We start from the raw sequence: 21,671 nt of genomic DNA, 5'->3' as shown, positions 1-21,671 counted from the left end.
GACCAGGTCATTCAACAGGCATTTAAGCCAACAAATGTTTATCATGCACCTATCATAGGACATGAAGGAAGCTATAGGTCAATGGATTTTGTCTCAATTTGAGGAAGAACATTCCAATAGAGCAGTCCAGAGATGAGATGAGCTGCTATAACTACTCACAAGAGATGTTCAAAACGAAATTAAATAATTCGAGGGGGGATTGGTCCTTATTATCCAGAAAGTCCTTTCCAGTGCTAAAACCTTATTACTCTACTTACAGTTGCTCAAAAAGAACATGTGTTTTTCCCAGTTCATGCTGCTTCCTCAAAAGTCTTTCTTTCCTTCTTCATCTATTCAGTTCCTACTCATATTTCAAGGCTCATGTTAGGAGCCAGCTCCTCAGGAAGCCCCTCTGATTGCTCCAGAGTAGTGACTGCAACACCCAAAGAGCATTTATCTCATTCTGCCTTAAATCGTATTCATTTTGTGAATGTCTAACTATGTCTAACAACTATACTACAGGTTCCTCGAAGGTCTCATCAATTTTTAATCACTTCCCCACTTTTTTCATACAGAAGTGGTCAATAAATATCTGTTGATAGAATATCAAAGAGATGAGCGTTATATTTTCCTGTATATTTATTACCTAATTAAATATAGTACATACAAGGCTCTATCTAACAGTAGGTACTGGATGAGCACTAGTGACTGTGTGGTTTGATTGTACCATTCTAAACATATCAACTCTGGTCTTTATCCTTTTTACCTTGTAGGTGGTCGCTGACCTGGCAGGTTATCATCCACTTCCCAGGATTCTCGGCTATCATTTCTGTTGTAAGGAAGGTGGCTGGGAACAGGTTGACGACATCAGTCCGATGCCCTCTGCTGATGAAGGTGTTACCATAGAAATAGATAGAATGGATGTCTATTTCATTCCCCATTCCAAATAGGTGCCAGGACACAGATTCTCCAACACACATATCAGGCTCCGGGAAGTTTCCGAAGAGGTATCCATTGAGGGCTGGAAACAGAAACACGCTAGTGGAAGAGACTCCCCTGCAGAGGCGACTGGGACCAGAAATGTTGGTAATACGGGCTTAAGCATGGCTGGAAAACCAGTGCAGACCATTGGTTGTAAGGTTTTGGTGCAGAAAAACCTGGCTCTTAGAAATATATATTGTCCAAAAGAGAAATGAAATGTTTTTATTGGCCTTTTTCCAGAGAAAACACTCAATAAAAGTGAAGATCAGCATACACTGAGAACAGCCTCGGAGCTGCTGTGGGAACGCAATATGAGGTCAGGAGAAAACAGAGTGCTGCTCATATTTACAGGAGGCTCAGTCACCTTCTGTCATAATCCTTCACTGGCATATCTGCTGTCTTCACCAGATTCTGTGCTCCTTGGAACTAGAAACCCTGTCTTGTTCATCTTAACAGTTATCAGGACCTAGCAGAAAAACTGGCACATAGTATCTACTTAATGAAGTGACAAAAGCATGTAGTAAGATGGAAAGAAAAGGAATTGATTAAAAGGAATTTATGAGAACTGTTTTGTTTGTTTGTTTGTTTACTTTAAAAAGCCAAGAGAAAAACAGTTTTTACTACATGTTGCTGGAGCAGAATCTTATTAAGTTTATGGCGTAAATCCAGGACCGAATACTTTAAAACCATCTAAATGGCAGCTGGGAGTTGACCAAGTTCAGAAAAGAACTTGATTCAGGGCTTTAAAAAGTCACAATATCCCTTCTTAAGTTCGAACTGAGTTAAAAGCAATTGTTGCTGAAATGCCTGATGACTTAGGCAGCACAATTAATTCTAAATTATTTTAGTAAATTTAAATAAATTGATCAATAAAACTTGTACATATTAATTATCTTCCATAGTCTAGATTTTTTTAATTAAATTTTTTCCTTTACTTGATTAGGTCTCTTTTTCCAGTCTCTCTCTCTTTTTTTTCTTTTGAGATGGAGTCTCGCTCTGTCACACCCAGGCTGAAGTGCAGTGGCACAATCTCAGCTCACTGCAACCTCTGTCTCCTGGGTTCAAAAGATTCTTGTGCCTCAGCCTCCCCAGTAGCTGAGATTACAGGTGCCCACCACCATGACCAGCTAATTTTTGTATTTTTAGTAGAGACAGGTTTTGCCATGTTGGCCAGGCTGGTCTTGAACTCCTGGCCTCAAGTGATCCTCCCACCTTGGCCTCCCAAAGTGCTGGGATTACAGGCGTGTGCCACAATACCCCACCCTTTTCCAGTCTTGAAGGATTGTTTGCAAACACACATCTACTTCAGCATACAGGCTAGGGTTTTTTGTTTTTGTTTTTTGAGACAGGGTCTTGCTCTGTCACCCAGGCTGGGGTGCAGTGGCACTTAGTTCACTGCAGCCTCAAACTCCCGGGCTAATGCAATCCTCTGACCTCAGCATCACAAGTAGGTGGGACCACAGGCATGTGCCACTATGCCCAGCTGATTTTTTTTGTTGTTTGTTTGAATTTTTTGTAGATAACGGATCTACCTATGTTGCCCAGGCTGGTTTTGAACTTCTGGCCTCAAGCAATCCTCCCACACCTGCTTCTCAAAGTGCTGGGATTATAGGCATGAGCCATTGTGCCTGGACAGGCTTCTTTTTATGATACATGTAATCTATGTTTGCTTATGTAATTCATTTCATTTTGTTGGACATTTTCACTTCAAAAGAATAAATACAGAGTAAGAGGAATTATTTGGGCAGGTGAGTCTTAAGTAATCACAATTAGTAGTTTTCTGCAATATTTGAGATCATCACTCCCATTTTGTAAAGGATATGCATTACAACTGGTCACAGCAATGATTTGAATTTATGTCTTCATTGACTCCATCCTTCATTGTTTTCTCTGCCTCCCTGCCTTCCCCTTTCCTTCTCTCCCTTACTTCCTTTCCTCCTAAAATATTTTCCAAGAATCACTACACATAAGGTTGCCAAAATACCACTAGAAGGAAAAAAGAAGGCATGCAATACAATGGAAATAATCAATGTACTGACAATCATGCCTTGATGTGCCTAGGAATCAAACACAGCCAAATTTACATTTATTTGCTATGGGACTTCTCTCAGGAAACTCTCTGGCATTAATTATCACTTTGACCTTAGGCAAGTCATTGATAGTCTCTTGACCTCAGTTTCTCTTCTGTAAAATGGAGACGTTAGATGATCTTCAGCTCCTTCTATTCCTCTTATGATTTTATGACTATATTGAGGATACCTTGGTTAGAACAATTCTGAGAGACAGAGAAGCAATAGAAGGAGAAGATATGTCAATGAATAAGGTGGGATATGTAGGTTGACTATTTCCTTTATGTTCACTAGAACTCTCTAAGAAAATCCTAAAATGCTACATTAAGCTACTGCTTTGCAAAACAGGCATGAGTAAGTGCCCCATCTCAACTAATGAAGTAACTATAGAAGTTCACTATTTTGAACAAATATGGAGTCTGATGTATAGTGCATGCTCAGTAAATTTTGTTGATGTAAAGAATGCCTGGGAAATATAATGAATTCACAAGTGCTTATTTAAACCCCATGCATAACTCAGTTCTTAAAATTTATCAGCGGCTCAGAAAATGGTTACTGGATGAAGCAAAATGTTGCAAAACACAGGATTATTATAGAACGATGATTTCATTCTCCTTTCTCCTTCCAGTCAGTCTAAGCCCACCCATGCTCTGGGCTCACCTCAGGCACCGATTCTTTTCCAATTACAATATAACATCGATCCCTCCATTTTCCCAAAGCCCTGTGGCTTTGTCCACACTGCATGCCCAATTTAGCATGCATCCACTGCTCTGTCCCCCTCAGATTGTTTCAGGTTCAAACATGTGTCATGTATTGTATCACTTTCTAACCATGGTCATCCCTGAGTTATAAATCATGCCAAACTCAGATCAACATTTCTGTGTATTTTTTATCCCTTGTAGTACCTTATAGTATAAAAGGCCTGGTATACGTTTGGGAACATGGGAGGTACTCACCATGCATTTTGTTACTCCTCTGGAAAACAGCATCTTTCTTGTCAACTGAATCAGGGTTGGTGCAGAAATGTTTGATATTTTCATTGAGGTACCAGCTTTGATTCTCATCCACAAGAGTAAACATTATAACAAACTCTCGATCCACATCATTCCGTGTCCCTGAATATCTATTCAGGATACCTGTCAGGCACATTCAAAAGAGTAGAGAGAAAGAACTAAATCAAGATGAGCTTTGCTTCCTTCCAATAGTGTCAGGCAAGTGTGAAGTTTGGTGAAGACCTATACCTACAAGGATAACCCACCATATAAAATCAGCAAAAGGCTTTAATGGAGATGACAGAGCCATAGAAGAGAAAAGTCATAAAACAGAAATCTTCATAATCACATACTTGGAAGACTGGCTGTCTCTAAAGGGAGTCCATTTTATTGACAAACTACAGACATGCTAAGTCAACTAATAAGGGATAAAATAGCAAATGATTATTTGGGTGAAATAATGAAGCAGAAGGCATTACTGGTCATTTGACTAAATTTCTCACTTTTCTATACATTGTGTTATGAAATATCATTTTTTAAAATAACAATAAAGTCTCAGAATGCTGTGATGATTCTTAGACAAAAATCTGAATTATTGCCCTCTGCTATGGTGTCAGATTGATCTTCCATGTCAGAATTTCTAAAGAAATTTGGAAGAGGCACATTCTGTGTGGAGCAAAGGAGGTAGGCAAAATAAGACCTGAATCTTATTCACATTTCAACTCCCTAGTTACCTGGAAACAAAGCTCCTTACCTTCCTTGCAGACCAGCAGGGGCCCAATTAGCCCAGAGCAGATGTCCTTTGGGGCGTCGATGTGCGAATGGTACACCCAGGTCAGGCAGTTGGCATCGGCTGGAGTAGGTGCATATTCTTCTCTCACCGGCCAGACGTAGGTGTAGTTTTTCCCAGGAGGAACCATGTCATCATTTTTGTTCCTTCCAGATGTTCCATCTGGGTATAGGGCTCCTTCCAAAAAATAAAATTAAAAAAAAAGGTAAAACATAGTTAAAACAGAGAGATCACATGCTATAGTAGAGAGGGCCAGAGCTTTGGAATCAAACATAACTGAATTAAAATTTATTTGCTATGGGACTTGAGGCAAGTTACTTAAATTCTCAATGTCTCTGTTCTCTATCAGTAAAACTGAAATGTTGATATCTATCCTACAGGGATATAAGAACTAAATGAGGCAATGTATACAGAGTGTTTTGAACAGAACTAGGAACTTAATAAATGTTCATAATAAGGACTCTTTCTGATGAGGCTACCATATCAACCAGGAAGATTTCAATTCCCCTCAGTTGACATCGACTCAAGAAGGGAAGGAGAAGCCTAAGAAGAAATAATGAATAAACACTTCTTGGGGACTTATTTCAGATTCACCACCTGTGTAGGTCTCATGAGAGATAGGAAGGAAGTGTAAGACATTCTTCCTGCCTCTGGGGATCATATAGTTCTGTTGGGCAGACTAGAATACGTATTAAACACATGGGACAACTGGAGAATAAAGCAAAGTGAATGTGTTGAATGTCATTTTGGGTCAAAATATATGGCATACCCCAGAGGATGCCTGTGCTATACAAGGTAGAGGGTCCACCACAGAGTGGGCAGGGGCAGAACAGCCCCTTACTCTCTGTTTCATAAACCAAGATGGCACATGATTTTTCAATTAAGGAAAGCCGACTGCTAAAAATAGGATAAAAACCACCTGGCTAAAAGGACAGAGACCAGTCTGTGCACATTATAGTTATCAGAAGCTCTACAACAGAGGTGAGATTTAAGGGGCCTTAAAGGACGGGAGGAGCTAGACTGGTACTGAAAAAAAAAAAAAGCTGGATGGTAAGGGACAGAGAAGGAGATGGAAGTGCACACATTCCACATCCATTTGCCATTCATTCATTTACACAGTCATTCAAGAATGTGAATTCAATATTGAACACATGCTACCAATGTGCTAGGCATTAGGAATACAAATTCAAATAACACAGCAAGAGCCAGTGTGGCCAAGACAAACCAAAGCAAAGATAAAACTAAAAAATCTAATGTTACCATTTAACAAATTCTACCATGAAAGCGTGGTTTGATGTTTGGAGAAAGATGTCATGAGAAAGCAACAACAGTTAAGCCCTTATTATGTGCCAACTATAGTGGATACTTTGTATACATTATCACAGTTACTTTTCAAAGCAATCCCATATGAAAAGTATTAATATTCATTTTTTATTAAGTTAAGGTAACACTCCTAGCATGTTCTTGAGTCAAATTTGAATCTATTTATACCTGACTTCCCATCAAAGTTACTGGCAATATAATGTACAAACTATTTTCTACTTATTTATTCACTTAACTTTCCTTTACATACTTTTAATTACTTTTATTCTAAAAAGAATATGAGCCACTTTACAAATAAACCTATATGCTACATAATTAGTTACAGCCCATTCATATTAACTGTAGCTCTGAATTTCCTGATTATATTTAGGTTATATTGTTAGATATAGAGTTAATATATATTAGGTCAATATAATTAGCTTATACTCTTTCATTGTCCAGTAAAGGGAAACTTACTAGTTCATTAAGAGAAAGGAACTTTTTGCTAGTACTAGATTCTGAGAGAGTATTTTCAAGAAAATTATTATATATAAATTATTCAGTAATGTAATGAATTATGTCTTCAATGTTTTCAAGAATGCTTTCCAAAAGATGCAAAAACATTCTTTTTAAAACAATTTCTTACATTTTCTCTCAATACGAGGTGAGAATATAATACTCAATAGTATTTTGACAGAATCATTTGTACTCAAAGTTAAATTAATGTATTTGCCGCTTTCTCACTTGATACTTATCTAACGTGATAGAGGAACAGGACATAGGAAAAAATCCAGAGAGCTGCCCCTCATCCATTAAATCCAAATGACATTTAAAAAAACTATGTTATCTCAGCAGCATTTGATACTATTGTCAGCTCCCTCCCTCCTTGACTCATAGGACATCACATCATACTCTTTGACCACTCTTTTTCAGTCCACTTTTCCAGTTCATTCTCTTGTATCTGCCATTTTTTTGTCAGAAATCCTCAAAGTATAACGCTGGCTTCTTCCTTCCATGCCTTGTGCTTTCTCCTCAGCTGATAGCACTCATCCCCACAGTGCCACCCATCAGCCACACACCAGTGACCCCCATGTTTATCTCCAGCCAGGACCTTACCTCTGCACTTTACACTGATATTCAACTGTCTGCTTGACATCCCTACTTGTAAATCTCAAGAAGATTGCAAATGCAACCTTTTCCAGGGATCATTAGCTCTCCTCTACCAAGCTTGGTCCTCAGCCACTGCCACTACTCCCAGTAAAAGGCACTACCAATATTCAGCCACAAGCCAGAAACAAAGGAAGCATTTTTCTTCCTTTTCCTCTCTTTCCATTTCCAAAATACCACAGGGTCCTATCTCCGCTTCTTCTCAAATGCATCCATTTATTTATGTTGATCTCCAACATCACATCCCTAGTCTGAACTACCATCATCTCTCACCTGGACTTTGTAGTAACCTCCTAGTTGGCTTCCCTTCCTCTAGCCTTTCTAATCCATTTTCCAAGCTACCACAAGAGTGATCTTTTCAAATCTTAAATATAATTCTATTGTTCCCTGTTTAAAATCATTTCATTGCTTCCCATCAGTGTTGGGATGAAGGTCAAATGTGTTTAATATAGATTAGAAGGTCCAGCATGGTCTGGCTCAGGCAATCCTGAACTCCCTGGACTGGGTCAGTTATCTAAAATGCATTCACACTGAGAGAAGGGCAGTAGAGCCACTGGTTAAGCTCACAGCCACTGAAATTAGACTGCCTGGAAAGGAATCTTACCTCCATCACTTGTTAGGTATGCAGCTTGGGCAATTTCCTTCTCTTCTATGACTCTTAGCTTCTTATCTGTTAGGTGGTGATAATCATAAATGCCTACCTCTTAAGAGTTGTTGAGACTTGTAGGATATGATATCTATAAAGCACTTATCACAGTGCCTGGTATATAGTAGCCTTTCAGTAAACTATCTTATTCATTTATAACATGTGCCTAAGTTTTTAATTATATGTGTGTATATGTAAGTGTATATATACACACACACCATATATATATTTACACACATATATAGTATGTATATGTGTATACATATACACACACATATATATATCATGTGTGCATATGTGTGTATGTATGATTGCTTCACTAATGTCTCTTTCTCATGTTAGACTGTAAGCTGCATTAAAGCAAATACCAGGCTTCTTTTTGCTCATGATCGTATCTTCAAGATCTACCCCAGTGCGTGTATATATATATATATATATATATATATATATATATATATATATATATATATATATATAATAAAATATGACTGAGTGGTATTACCTTACACTGCCTTTGTCCAAAGCCCTCTGAATAAAATGCATGGCTTGGAAGATTCTTTTCTATATGGAGAGATTTATATACAGAGGTTCAGGAGTTGAGTGAGAGTGGGTAAGCAGTGGACTTGTCTCGAAGTTTCGATTGAGATCACTTATTTTGAATTGATTATATGATACAAATCACTACAAATAACAATTGTTCTAGAAATTCTTATGTTCACAATTTACTTAATGGGCCTTGTTTTTATTATTATTAGGAGTTATTGAAGGCTATTACTGAAATGAGGAGAGAGAATCCCCTAACAGAGCCTTTGTGCCACCACTCAAGTTGAAGAATATCACTGGGAATCAAAAATAAAGTATAAATATAAAGGAAGACGTGACTTGGAGATAGGTAATTTATTAAGTTGTTCTGAAAGTCATTTTCAAAAGAATTTATTAAGGCTTTTGATCAATGGTGTCATTAACAATATGAAAGTATAAAACACTATTTATTTGCTTATATATGTTCTAGGCTGTGTGAGCTTTTAAAACTTACACAATTTTTTTACCCATCAGATTTGAGAATTTTGAGGATTGATGGGGTCATGGGAGAATTAAGCTCATTCATAAACAAATGGCAGAGAGTAAAATTTGCAGTTTTTCAGAAGACAGCTTGCCAATTCCTATTCAAAGAAAGTATATACAACCAGCAATTTTATTTGTAATAATGTATTGTACAAACATACTTGAAACTATTTTTCAAATTACATGAACTGGAAGCAACCTAAATAATTATCAGCACTGAACTGATATGTTCATATGGTGGGATATTGCACAATTGTTAAATGCAAGTCTCACTATATGTACTAATATGAGAAAATCTCCAAGACAAAGTAAAAAGTGAAAAACAGAAAGCATTATAGCATAATCCCTTTTATACAAATGAGCAAGGATATACACATACATACATGCTAATATATGTATAGAAAAAAGTCTGTGAAAAATTCATAGAAATTGTTTAAGATTATTGCCTTTGGAGTGAAAGACAAGTGAGCAGGGCTTTAACTTTTCTTCTTATACCTCTTTACTCTTAAGAACTTCTAACCATGTTCATTTGGCACTTTAATTTTCTATTTTGAACTAATTTAGTGAATATGTAAAGAATCAGATTGTGTGCAATTTTCCTCTTCTTTATACTTTTTTATATTAAAGCAAAAACCAGGCCAGGTGAGGCAGTGACTCACACTTGTAATATGAGCACTTTGAGATGCCAAGATGTGAGGATTGCTAGAGGCCAGGAGTTTGAGTCTAGTCTAGGCAACATAGCGAGACCCCATCTCTATAGAAATAAAACAAATAAAATAAAAATAAAATTTAAAAAACAATAAAATTTATTTTTAAATAGTCCTAATACTTAAGCATATTTCAGATGTAGGTCAAGAAAGCACTAGTTCATTCTATCATTAAATGAAGGAATGTATATAAGAGGTCTGGCTCAGGCATTAGCATAAAATAGCTGCTCAATTAATGTTAGCCCCACCCGCTCAACCCACTTCTAAGTTCCATTCTCTACCCCTCCCCTGGATGATATTTTGGAAGCAACAACTGTATATTTACTCTTCTTTGCAACCCAGTATTGTGTCTGGCTCACAGCAAACACTAAGTTGAATTAAGCAGAGACTTCAAGACTTTTAAGCTTACAGCTGTAGCAAAGACAAAACCTTATTAAAGGAGAGCAAAGAAGTCAGCAAATTCTCTTCCCAAAAAAGCAACTATAAAGTTAGACAAAATTGATTTAAAAAAAATAACAAACCATTTTGGTATCTAGAAATTGAATAAAAACATATAGCAATGTTTATGCTTGAAACTGCTGAACATCAGCTAAGAGGAGTAGGATTCTACAGCACTGGTTTTCTAACCACTCACAGATCCACTAGCAGAGAATATAAGATTTATTGGCTCAAGATGCTTAGGCACAACTTCTTCAAATCATTTGCTGACCACTGAGCTAAGCAGACATAGGAATGACCTCTCAGAAGCCAGGCTTAAAAATAAAAATAAATAATAAAAAAAGCAGACATCTCAGTGGCCACACACTATAGGAAAGATAATCCACAGATTTAGCCCACAGGTTACTAAACAAAGAAGCAAGCAAAAAAAATAACCTAGAGTTGATGAAGGAATGAGAATCCAGATATGCTACATTATATTCTTAAAAATATCCAGTTTTCAAGAACAACAAAAATATGAGAAACACAAAGAAACAGGCAAGTGTGATTAATAGAGAAAAAAAGGCAGCCAGTGGAAACTATCTCTCTATATGTCCTTATAGGTTGAATTTAGCAGAGAAAGACTTCAAAGCAGCTATAATAAATATGTTCAAACAACTAAAAGGAATTATGTGTAAAGGGCTGAAGAAAAGTGGGAAAAACAACTCAACAAATAGAGAATCTTAATAAGCAAATAGAAATATTAAAAAGAATCCAATTGGAATTTTGGCATTGAAAAGTACAATAAATTAAATAAAATACTAGAGGAGCTCAACAATATATTCAAGAAAGCAAAAGAAAGTATCAGTGAACTTAAAGCTAGATCAATAGAAATTATCCTATCTGAAAAAGAGAGGTGGGGGAAATAGAAGAAAATGGACAGAACCTCAGAGACCAGTGGGACAATGTATTTACTAACATGTGTATAACAGTTGTCTGCAGAAAGAGGGGAGAACAACAAAAAGAAAGTGTGGGATAAATATTTGAAGAAATAATGGCCAAAAATTTCCCAAATTTGATGAAAAACATTAACCTACACATCAAAGAAGCCTAATGAGCCAAAATTTGATAAATACAAAGAGGTCCACAAATAGATACATCATTGCTAAACTGTGGAAAGAGGAAAGGAAGACAAAAAGATAATATTGAAATCAGATAGACAAAAATGACCTATCACGTACAAGGGAGCATCAATATGATTAATGGTTGACTTCTTATCTGAACATTCGAACCCAGAAGACAATGAGATGATATACCTAAAGTGCCAGGGAGGAAATATTAGCCAAGAATGCTATATCCAGCAAAACGATCCCTCAAAACTAAAGGCAAGATGTTCTAGATAAATAAAGACTGAGTGAGTTTGTTACTAGCAGAACTGCCTTACAAGGAATACTAAAGGACAATCAAACTTCATAATAAATGGAAATGACACCAAAGAGTAACTTGAATTCACAGGAAGAAATGAAAAGCACCAGAAATGGGAAATATATGACTTAATATAAAAGGTTCTATAAATATATTTTCCTTTATTTTATTTTTTAAAAGTCATAAAGTAATATAAAGCACCAAGTATATAACAACGTATTGCTGGGTTTATTTAGAGAAGGGCATTATAGATAGATAGATAGATAGATAGATAGATAGATAGATAGATAGATAGATAATCAATAATAGCACAAAGGAGGGGGAGAGAATGGAGCTTTATGGAGCAAAGCTTCTACATTTTACCAGAATTTAGTTGGTAAATGTAATAAACTAGGGTGCATATTACAATCCCGAGGCAAACCAATAAGAAAATAACTCAATGATATATAGGCTAAAAAATAAACAGAAATTAAAACATTATTCTAAGAAATATTTGTTTAACACAAAAGAAGGCAGTAAAAGAGGACCAGAGGAACAAAAAATACAGAAGACATATAGAAAATAATTAGCAAAATGACAAATATAAATCAAACTAATAAATAATTACATTAACTGTGAATGGTCTAACACCACAATCAAAATGTAGAGATTGTCAAACTGGGGGAAAAAAAGCAAAATTCTATTATATGCTGTTTGTATTGTGTCTTACATTGAAAGACACAAATAAGTTGAAAGTAAAATAATTCAAATAGCAAAAGTAAGAGGCTATATCAATAACAGACAAAATAGATTTTAAGACAAGAAATGCTATTAGAGACAAAGATATTTTGTCGCGATAAAAGGGTCAATATATCAGGAAAATATAACATTATAAATGTATTCATATCTAACAAAAATGCATCAAAATACAGGAAGGAAAAACTGACTTAATTTAAAGAACAGAGAATGGAAGCTGGCTGCGAAAGGGTCCAGCAGAAGGAAACATGGCTGCCAAAGTGTTAGAGTCCACTGGCAAGTTTGGCCTGGCCTTAGCTGTTACAGGAGGCACGGTAGGCTCTGCCTTATATTATGTGGATGCTGAGCACAGAGCTAAATCTTTGGCAGATTCCATGGAGTACAGGACATTGCAGTATGGAAAGGAACTCATTTTCTCATCCTATGGGTACAGAAACCAATTATCGTTGACTGCTACTCTTGATCACATAACACACCAGTCATCACTGGTAGTGAAGATTTACAGAATGTCAAGATCACAGAGTGCATTGTCTTCCAGCCTGTCACTAGCCAGCTTCCTCACATCTTCACCAGCATTGGAAAGGACTATGATGAGCGTGTGCTGCTGTACATCACTAAGAGATCCTCATGTTACCGATTGCTTACTTTGATACTGGAGAACTGATCACCCAGAGAGAGCTGGTCTCCAAGCCGGTTAACAACGACCTTACGGAGCAAGCAGCCACCTTTGAGCTCATCCTGGATGATGTGAAAAGATCCTCATGTTACTGATGGCTTACTTTGATGATGGAGAACTGATCACCCAGAGAGAGCTGGTCTCCAGGCAGGTTAGCAACGACCTTGCAGACTAAGTAGCCACCTTTGAGCTCATCTTGGATGATGTGTCCTTGACACATCTGACCTTTGGGAAGGAGTTCACAGAAGTGGTGGGAGTGAAACAGGTGGCTCAACAGGAATCAGAGAGGGCCAGATTCATGGTGGAAAATCTGAGCAGCAGAAAAAGGTGGCCATCATCTCTGCCAAGGGAGTCTCCAAGGCAGCTGAGCTGAGTGCCAATTCACTGGCCACCACAGGTGATGGCCAGATTGAGCTACACAAGCTGGAAGCTGCAGATGATATTACATACCAGTTCTTATGCTCTCATATCATCACCTACCTTCCGGCAGAGCAGTCTGTGCCCCTCCAGCTGCCCCAGTAAGGACCCACCCTGCCTGTACTTCCTCAAGCCAACTGGGCCACAGCCCCAATGAGTAACAGTGTCTTCCTTCTGCTCCTACCTGAGAAATCACTGTGAAATTTCATGATTGGCTTAAAGTGAAGAAAATAAAAGTAAAATCACTTCAGATGTCTAATTATCAAATGAAGCTCTTTCTTTCTTCGCATATTCAAAGACTTTTTTATCTACTCCCCTACGAAAAATTCCCAAGTGCCTATGCAGACTGGCTTTAGGTCCCAATTTGAGGTCTACTGTAGCTCCAGCCTAGGTACTGCAATTGGCAGAACTAAGGTAGGGCAATGTGTGTGATGGACTGGGAAGAACAGTTGTCAGCCTGAGTACACATGTAGCCTCCATCCTATCGTTGATTGAAGATTTGAGGGTAAAAGCACATGCAGCTGAATTGAAAAGGTAGGCCTCAATTTTCCCAGCAGTTCCTGCACAGATGAAGCTGAAGAGAGGTGCTGGAGAGGGTCAGAGAGAAAGTGGTCTGTCTCTTACTATAAGGCTGATTCTCTTTAACTGTGTGACCAGTGGAAACAAGTGTGAACTAACTGAGTGTAGATTGAAGAATCTGCTTCTGTTGAAATGGGTAGGCCTGATTGTTGCCCCCCAGGGTCCTAATACCCGGATGGACTTAGATAGTGCAAGAGGAGCCCTAGACTGAGATCTGAGTCCTGTTGAAGACTTCTTTCTACCCTCAATTTTGGTCCCTCTCAAATATCCAATGGAATTCCAACTTGAAGTATTGAATCCTTCTGGGGCTAAACATGCCTGCCAAAGATGTGTACATCCTGTGTTCCTGGCTTCCTTGTTCAGAGACTGCTCTTCTCCAGGGCTCTGTGCCTGTGCTTTGAAAATAGATCTGTATAAACTGTTGTTAATAAATGACACTCAGACCTTCCCCAAAAAAAGAACAAATAGACAACTCAACAATAATTGTTGAAGATTTCAATACTCAACTCTCAATAACTGATAGAACACCTAAACAGAAAATCAGCAAGGATATAGGAGACTTGAACAATACTATGAACCAATTATACCTAAATGATGTCTCTGGAACATTGCACCCAATAACTGTAGAATATACCCTCTTTACAGAGCACATGGATGATTCTCCAGAATGGAGCACATACTAGGCATAAAATAAGTTTCAATACATTGAAAAGGATTACTATCATACAAAGCATATTTTTCAATCACAATGGAATTAAATTAAATATCTACAGAAAGAAATCTTTGAAATCATCTAAATATTTGGAAATAAAATGATACACTTCTAAGTAACCCACAGGTCAAAGAAGAAATCACAAGGGAAATTGTAAAATATTTTGAACTGAATTAAAATGAAGACAAAAATATCAAAATTTATGAGATACAGGTAAAGCCATGCTTAAAAAGGAAATTTAGATTTTAAGTCATCTATCTCAGAAGTTAAAAAAAACTCTCAAATCAATAACCTAAGCTTTCATCTTAAGAAACTAGAAAAGGAAGAGAAAAACAAACCCAAAGCAAGTAGAAAGAAGAAATAAAGATTGGAACAGAAATCAGTGAAAGAGAAAACAGAAAAAAAATACAAAATAGATGAAACCAAAAGTTGGTACTTAGAAAAGATCAACAAAATTGAGACAACTTCATTTAGACTGGCCAAGAGAGAAAGAGAACACTAATTGCCAAAGTCAGGAATGAAAGAGGCAACATCACTGACCATACAGAAATTAAAAGGATTATAAGGAAATATTATAGGCAACTTTCTGCCAAAATAATAGACAACTGAGATGAAACACACGAATTTCTAGGAAGACACAAGTTACCAAAACTGACTAAAATATAAAAATAAAAAATTGGAATATACCTATAACAAGAAATTGAATTAGTAACTAAAGATCCTCCCTGAAAGTAAATTCAGGTCCAGTGGTTTTATATAAAAATTCTAACAAATACTAAAAAAAAAATCCATGCCAATCCTTTACAAAATCTTTCAGAAAACAGAAGAGTGGAGACTTTCCAATTCCTTCTATGAGGCAAGTATTACCTTGACAACAAAATCAGATACAAACATCACAAGAAAACTACAGACCAATATCCTTCATGACTTAGACACAAAAATTCTTAACAAAATATTAGCAAATTGCATCCATCAGCATATAAAAAGGATTCTATGCCATGGCCAAATGGGATTTATCCCATGATTGCCAGGTTGGCTTAACATCCAAAAATTAGTTAATGCAATATATATCAATATATCTCAATAGATATAGAAAAGCCACATGACCATCTCAATGGATACAGAAAAGTATTGAAAAAAATCCAGTACTTACTTAGTGAAAAACTCTCAACAAACTAGGAATACAAAGGAATTTCCTCCAGTCCCAGCTAAAACAATCAGACAAGAGGAAGAAATAAGGACATCCAAACTGGAAAGGAAAAAGTCAGATTATCCTTATTTGCAGATGATATAATCTTACATTTGGAAAAACCTAACGGCTCCACCAAAAACTATTATAACTTACAAATTTAGTAAAGTTGCAGGATACAAAATCAACATACAAAATCAGTAGCATTTCGATATGCCAACAGTGAATAATCTGAAAAAGAAATCAAGAAAGTAATCCCATTTACAGTAGCTACAAATAAAATTAAATACCTAGAAGTTAACGTAACTAAGGAAATGAAGGATCTTTATAATGAAAACTATAAAACACTGATGAAAGAAATTGAAGAGGACAAAAAAATGGAAAAACATTTCATGTTCATGGATTGGAAGAATCAATATTGTTAAAATGTTCATACTGCCCAAAGCAATCCCTATCAAAATACCAATGACAGTCTTCACAGAGATTGAAAAAACATTCCTAAAATTATATGGAACCACAAAAAAACCAGAATAGCCAAAGCCATCCTAAGTAAAAAGGACAAAACTGGAGGAATCACATTACCTGACTTCAAATTATACTACAGAGCTATAGTAACCCAAATGGCATGGTACTGGCATAAAAACAGACACACAGACAAATGGAACAGAATAGAGAACCTGGAAATAAATCCATACATCTACAGTGAACTAACTTTTGACAAAGGTGCCAAGAACACACACTGGGGAAAAGACAGTCTCTTCAATAAATGGTACTGGGAAAACTGGATACCCATATGCAGAAGAATAAAACTAGACTCCTATCTCTCACCATAGACAAAAATCAAATCAAATCAAAATGGATTAAAAACTTTAAGACCTTAAACTATAAAACTGCTACAAGAAAATACTGGGCAAACTCTCCAGGACATTAGTCTGGGCAAAGATTTCTTGAGTAATACCCCACAAGCCAGGCAACCAAGGCACAAGTGGACAAATGGGATCACATTAAGTTAAAACACTTCTACACAGCAAAGGAAACAATCAACAAAGTGAAGAGACAATCCATAGAATGGGAGAAAATATTTGCAAACTACCTATCTGGGATTAATAACCAGAATATATAAGGAACACTATAGGAAAAAATCTAATTACCAGATTAAAAAATGGGCAAAAGACCTGAATAGCTATTTCTCAAAAGAAGACATACAAATGGTAAACAGGTGTATGAAAAGGTGCTTAACATTATTGGTCATCAGAGAAATATAAATCAAAACTACAACATGATATTCTCCCAACCCAGTTAAAATGACTTTTATTCAACAGACAGGCAATAAAAAATGCTAGTGAGGATGTGGAGAAAATGGAACCCTTGTACATTGTTGGTGGGAATGTAAATTAGTACAACCACTAGGGAGAGCAGTTTGAAATTTCCACAGAAAACTAAAAACAGAGCTATCATGTGATCCAGAAATCCCACTGGTATGGGTACATACCCCATTTTAATGTACCCCCCAAAAAGGAAATCAGATATCTGTACTCCCATGTTTATTGCAGCACTATTCACAGTAGCCAAGGTTTGGAAGCAAACTGTGTCAATAAGCAGCCAAATGGATAAAGATGTGGTACATATACACAATGGAGTACTATTCAGCCACAAGAAAGAATTTGCAACAATGTGGATTGAACCGGAGGTCATTATGTTAAGTGAAATAAGCCAGGCACAGAAAGACAAACTTCACATGTTCTCACTTGTTTGTGGGAACTAAAAATTAAAACAATTGAACTCATACAGAATAGAAGGATGGATACCAGAAGCCAGGAAGGGTAGTGGAAAGGTGGGAGGAAGTGGGGATGATTAATGGATACAAAAAAATAGTTAGAAAGAATTAATAAGACCTATTATTTGCTAGCACAACAGGGTGACAATAGTCAAAAATAATTTAATTGTGCATTTTAGAATAACGAAAAGAGTATAATTGGATTGTCTGAAACACAAAGGATAAATGCTTGAGGTGATGGATACTCCATGTACTATGATGTTATTATTATGCATTGCATGCTTGTATCAAAATATCTCATGCAACCCATAAACATATACATCTACTATGTTCCCACAAAAATTCAAAATTAAAAAAAAGAAAGAAACTTTCTCAATCTGATAAAAAGCCATCTAGAAAAAAATGTACAGCTAGCCTCATGCCTAACGGAGGAAGACAAAATGCTTTCTTCCTAAGATTGGGAAAAAGGTAAGAATATCTGGTCTCACTACTAATATTACATATTTTCCTAAAGGTTATAGCTGTGTAATAAGTCAAAAGAAAAAACGTAAAGGTATACAGACTGGTAAGGAAGAATTAAAACTCTCTTCATTCACAATGGCTTAAGTCCGTATGTAGAAAATTCCAAGAAATCCACTAAACATCTACTAACAAACAAGTTTAGCAAGGAAGTAGAATATAACTTCAACATACAAAAATTAATTCTTTCTATGCACTAGCACCAAACAATCCAAAAATGAAATTAAGAAAACTATTCCATTCATAACATCAACAGAAAAAATAAAATACTTTGGAATAAATTTAACAAAAGAAATGCAAATCTTGTATACTAAAAACTAAAACATTACTGAGAGAAATTAAAGACCTAAATTCCATGTTCATGGATTGAAAGACTCAATGTTGGTAAGATGGCCATTTGTTTTTAAATGCACATGGAATTTTCCTACAATTTATCAACCAAATTAACGCAAAGCGACTGCTATCAAAATCCTAGCTGATGTTTTTTGGTAAAAATTAATAAGCTGATCAAATATATATATGGAGGGAAAGAACCTAAATAGCCAAAAAGCCTTGAAAAGAATAACAAAGTTGAAGGATTTATGTGACTCCATTTCAAAACTTACTAGAATTTCACAGTAATCAAGACACTGTGGCATTGGTCCAAGGATAAGTATATAGATCAATGGAGCAGAATTAAGAGCACTGAAATTAACTCCTTATACTTATGGTCATTGATTTTTTTTTTTTTTTTACTACATCCTATGATTCATTCATCTTTTATTCTCAGGACCCAGAGTCAATGTCTGGCACCTGGGAGTCAGTGTCTGGCACCTGGTGGGTGCTCAATGAAAGGTTTATTCCTTTGGATAAATGCCCAGTAGTGGGACTGCTGGGTCATATGGGAGTTCTAGTTTTCATTTTTTGAAGAATCTCCATACTGTTTTCCGTAGTGGCTGTACTAATTTACATTGCCACCAAGAGTGTATAAGTATTCTCTTTTCTTTGTGTCTTTGCCAGTATCTGGTTGTTTTTGTTTTTTGGGTTTGGAGGGGGTACTTTTTGTCTTTTTGATAATAGCCATTTTAGCTGGGGTAAGATGAGATCTCATTGTAGTTCTGATTTGCATTTCCCCAATGATTAGTGATGTTGAGCATTTTTTTAATATACCTGTTGGCCATTTGTATGTCTACTATACCAGTATTAAGTGTGGTTTGTTTTTGTTTTTGTTTTGTTTTTTTTTGTTTCTTTTGAGATGGAGTCTTGCTCTGTTGCCCAGGCTGGAGTGCAATGGCATGATCTCGGCTCACTGCAGCCTCCACCTCCCAGGTTCAAGCGACTATCCTGCCTCAGCCTCCCAAGTAGCTGGGGTTATAGGCATGTGCCACAACTCCTGGCTAATTTTTTGTATTTTTAGTAGAGATGGGGTTTCGCCTGTTGGCCAGGCTGGTCTCAAATGCCCGACCTCAGGTGATCCACCCACCTCGGCCTCCCAAAGTGCTGGGATTATAGGCATGAGCCACCATGTCCAGCCAGTATTAAGTGTTATGAGATAAACCAACACACTTCTGAAATGGGACAGTCCTGCAGACAGGATAGAGAGAAGGTTTCCTGGGTAAACAACATTTGAAATGTTCTTAATTTAAGGACCTATGAATGTTTTCAGGGACTCTGAGAACCTCTTAAAAGTGGGTTCAAAATTTTGTCCACAGGCTGGGCACAGTGGCTCATTACTGTTATCCCTGCACTTTGAGAGGCCAAGGAAGGAGGACTGCTTGAGGCCAGGAGTTTGAGGCCAGCCAGGACAACACAGCAAGATCCTATCTCTATGAAAAAATTTTAAAAATTAGCCAGGTGTAGTGGCAGATGCCTGTGGTCCCAGCTACTTGGGAGGGTGAGGCAGGAGGATCACTTGAGCACAGGAGTTCAAGGCTGCAATGAACCATGACTGTACTACTGCACTCCAGCCTGAGTGACAGAGCGAGACCCCATCTCAAAAAAAAATTATGCACATACATATTTTTCTGGTGCAAGGGCTCATGGCTCTCACAGATGCTCAGAAAGATCTGTGGTGCACCAATGTTTATAGCAGTATTATTCACAATAGCCAAGATGTGGAAACAACCAAAGCATTCATCAACAGATGAACGGATAAACAAAGTGTGGTATATACATGCAATTGAATAGTATTCAGCCTTAAAAGGAATTACATTATGATGCATACTAAAATATACATAAGCATTGAAAATATTATGCTAAGTGAAATAAGCCAGACACAAAAGGCACATTCATAGACATAGAAAATAGAATAGAAGTTACCAGTGGGGCAGCAAAAGGGAGGAATGGAGAGGTATTGATTAATGGCTATATAGTTTCGGTTTGGGATGATGAAAAGGTTGTGGAAATAGATAATGGTGATGATTGTACAACCTTGTGGATGTAATTAATGCCACCGAATTGAACACTTGAAAATGGTTAAAATGGTAAATTTTATGTTCATATGTTTTACCACAATTTTTTTGAAAAAAGAATTTGTAGCCCTATAAAGCTTTAGAATCACTGGCCTAAATGATTTTTCAGGACACCATTAACTCTATTAAGGTATGCTTTCCAGAAACAGATGGAGGATTGAAGACAAAAATTACACTTAAAAATGCCCCTATTTTCTCCATATTTGAAAAGGCAGGCACAACTATCTTGGTACATCTTTACTTGCTACGTGCAGCATAAATAAGACACATGGAGTCAACCTGAACTCCCATCAGTGATAAACTGGATAAAGAAAATGACATGCATATACACCTTGGAATACTATGCAGCCATAAGAAGAATGAGATGATGTCCTTTGCAGGGACATGGATAAAGCTGGAGGCCATTATCCTTAGCAAACTAACACAGGAAGAGAAAACCAAATATCGCATATTCTCACTTATAAGTGGGAGCTAAATTATGAGAACACATGGAAACATAGAGGGGAACAACACACACTGGGGCCTAGCAGAGGGTGGAGGGTTGGAGGAGGGAGAGGATCAGGAAAAATAACTAATGGGGACTAGGCTTAATTCCTGGGTGATGAAATAATCTTTACAACAAATCCCCATGACACAAGTTTACCTATGTAACGAACCTGCACTTATATCCCTGAACTTAAAATAAAAGTTAAAAAAACTATATTAAAGAAAATGCATTCATAGTTACACCTTAAAGTTTACCTGGCACAATTTTTGTGCTCATCCTCAACAACTAAGAACTACCAAATCTTGGCTGCACTCCAGGTGGAGGAAAAGAGCCCAGAACAAAGGGCAATCCCAGTTGTGTGTTCACCATCAGAGTTCTCTCCTCTCGCTGCTTATAGAGACATGGCTGGAGCAGCTGCCTCACAAGTTAGGCTGCCTTGGGATATTTGTTAATGCCCAGAAACTCCTCCTTGATGATAATGTGAGTTGCATCAGAGTTAATGGCACTGTGCTGGCACATTTCCTAGAAGCAGTCACCTAGCAGGTACAGCACCTTTCAACCTATTCCACCAGGTCATGAGCAAGAATGAA

General features: G+C 36.9%; 1 protein-coding gene, 1 long non-coding RNA gene and 1 pseudogene across 2 annotated transcripts in view; 2 read left to right on the top strand and 1 right to left on the bottom strand.

Annotated features, from left to right (window-relative positions):
- The window catches only part of HEPHL1 (hephaestin like 1), a 92,855-nt gene that overhangs the window by 45,713 nt on the left and 25,471 nt on the right, over positions 1–21,671 (bottom strand). Inside the window, exons 3-5 of the mRNA NM_001098672.2 lie at positions 4,776–4,988; positions 3,986–4,165; positions 746–1,000 (exon numbers count right to left, since the gene is read on the bottom strand). Of these exons, the coding sequence (NP_001092142.1) occupies positions 746–1,000; positions 3,986–4,165; positions 4,776–4,988 (648 nt within the window). The remainder of the gene's footprint in view (positions 1–745; positions 1,001–3,985; positions 4,166–4,775; positions 4,989–21,671) is intronic.
- On the top strand, positions 984–1,525 carry LOC124902735 (uncharacterized). Its single transcript, XR_007062840.1, has 2 exons — positions 984–1,061; positions 1,201–1,525. It is a non-coding gene; the product is annotated as an uncharacterized LOC124902735 (long non-coding RNA).
- On the top strand, positions 12,390–14,405 carry PHB1P16 (PHB1 pseudogene 16; annotated as a pseudogene).

This window comes from Homo sapiens, chromosome 11, assembly GCF_000001405.40.
Source record: "Homo sapiens chromosome 11, GRCh38.p14 Primary Assembly".
NCBI lineage: Eukaryota > Metazoa > Chordata > Mammalia > Primates > Hominidae > Homo > Homo sapiens.
This window is presented reverse-complemented; position numbering and strand designations above follow the sequence as displayed.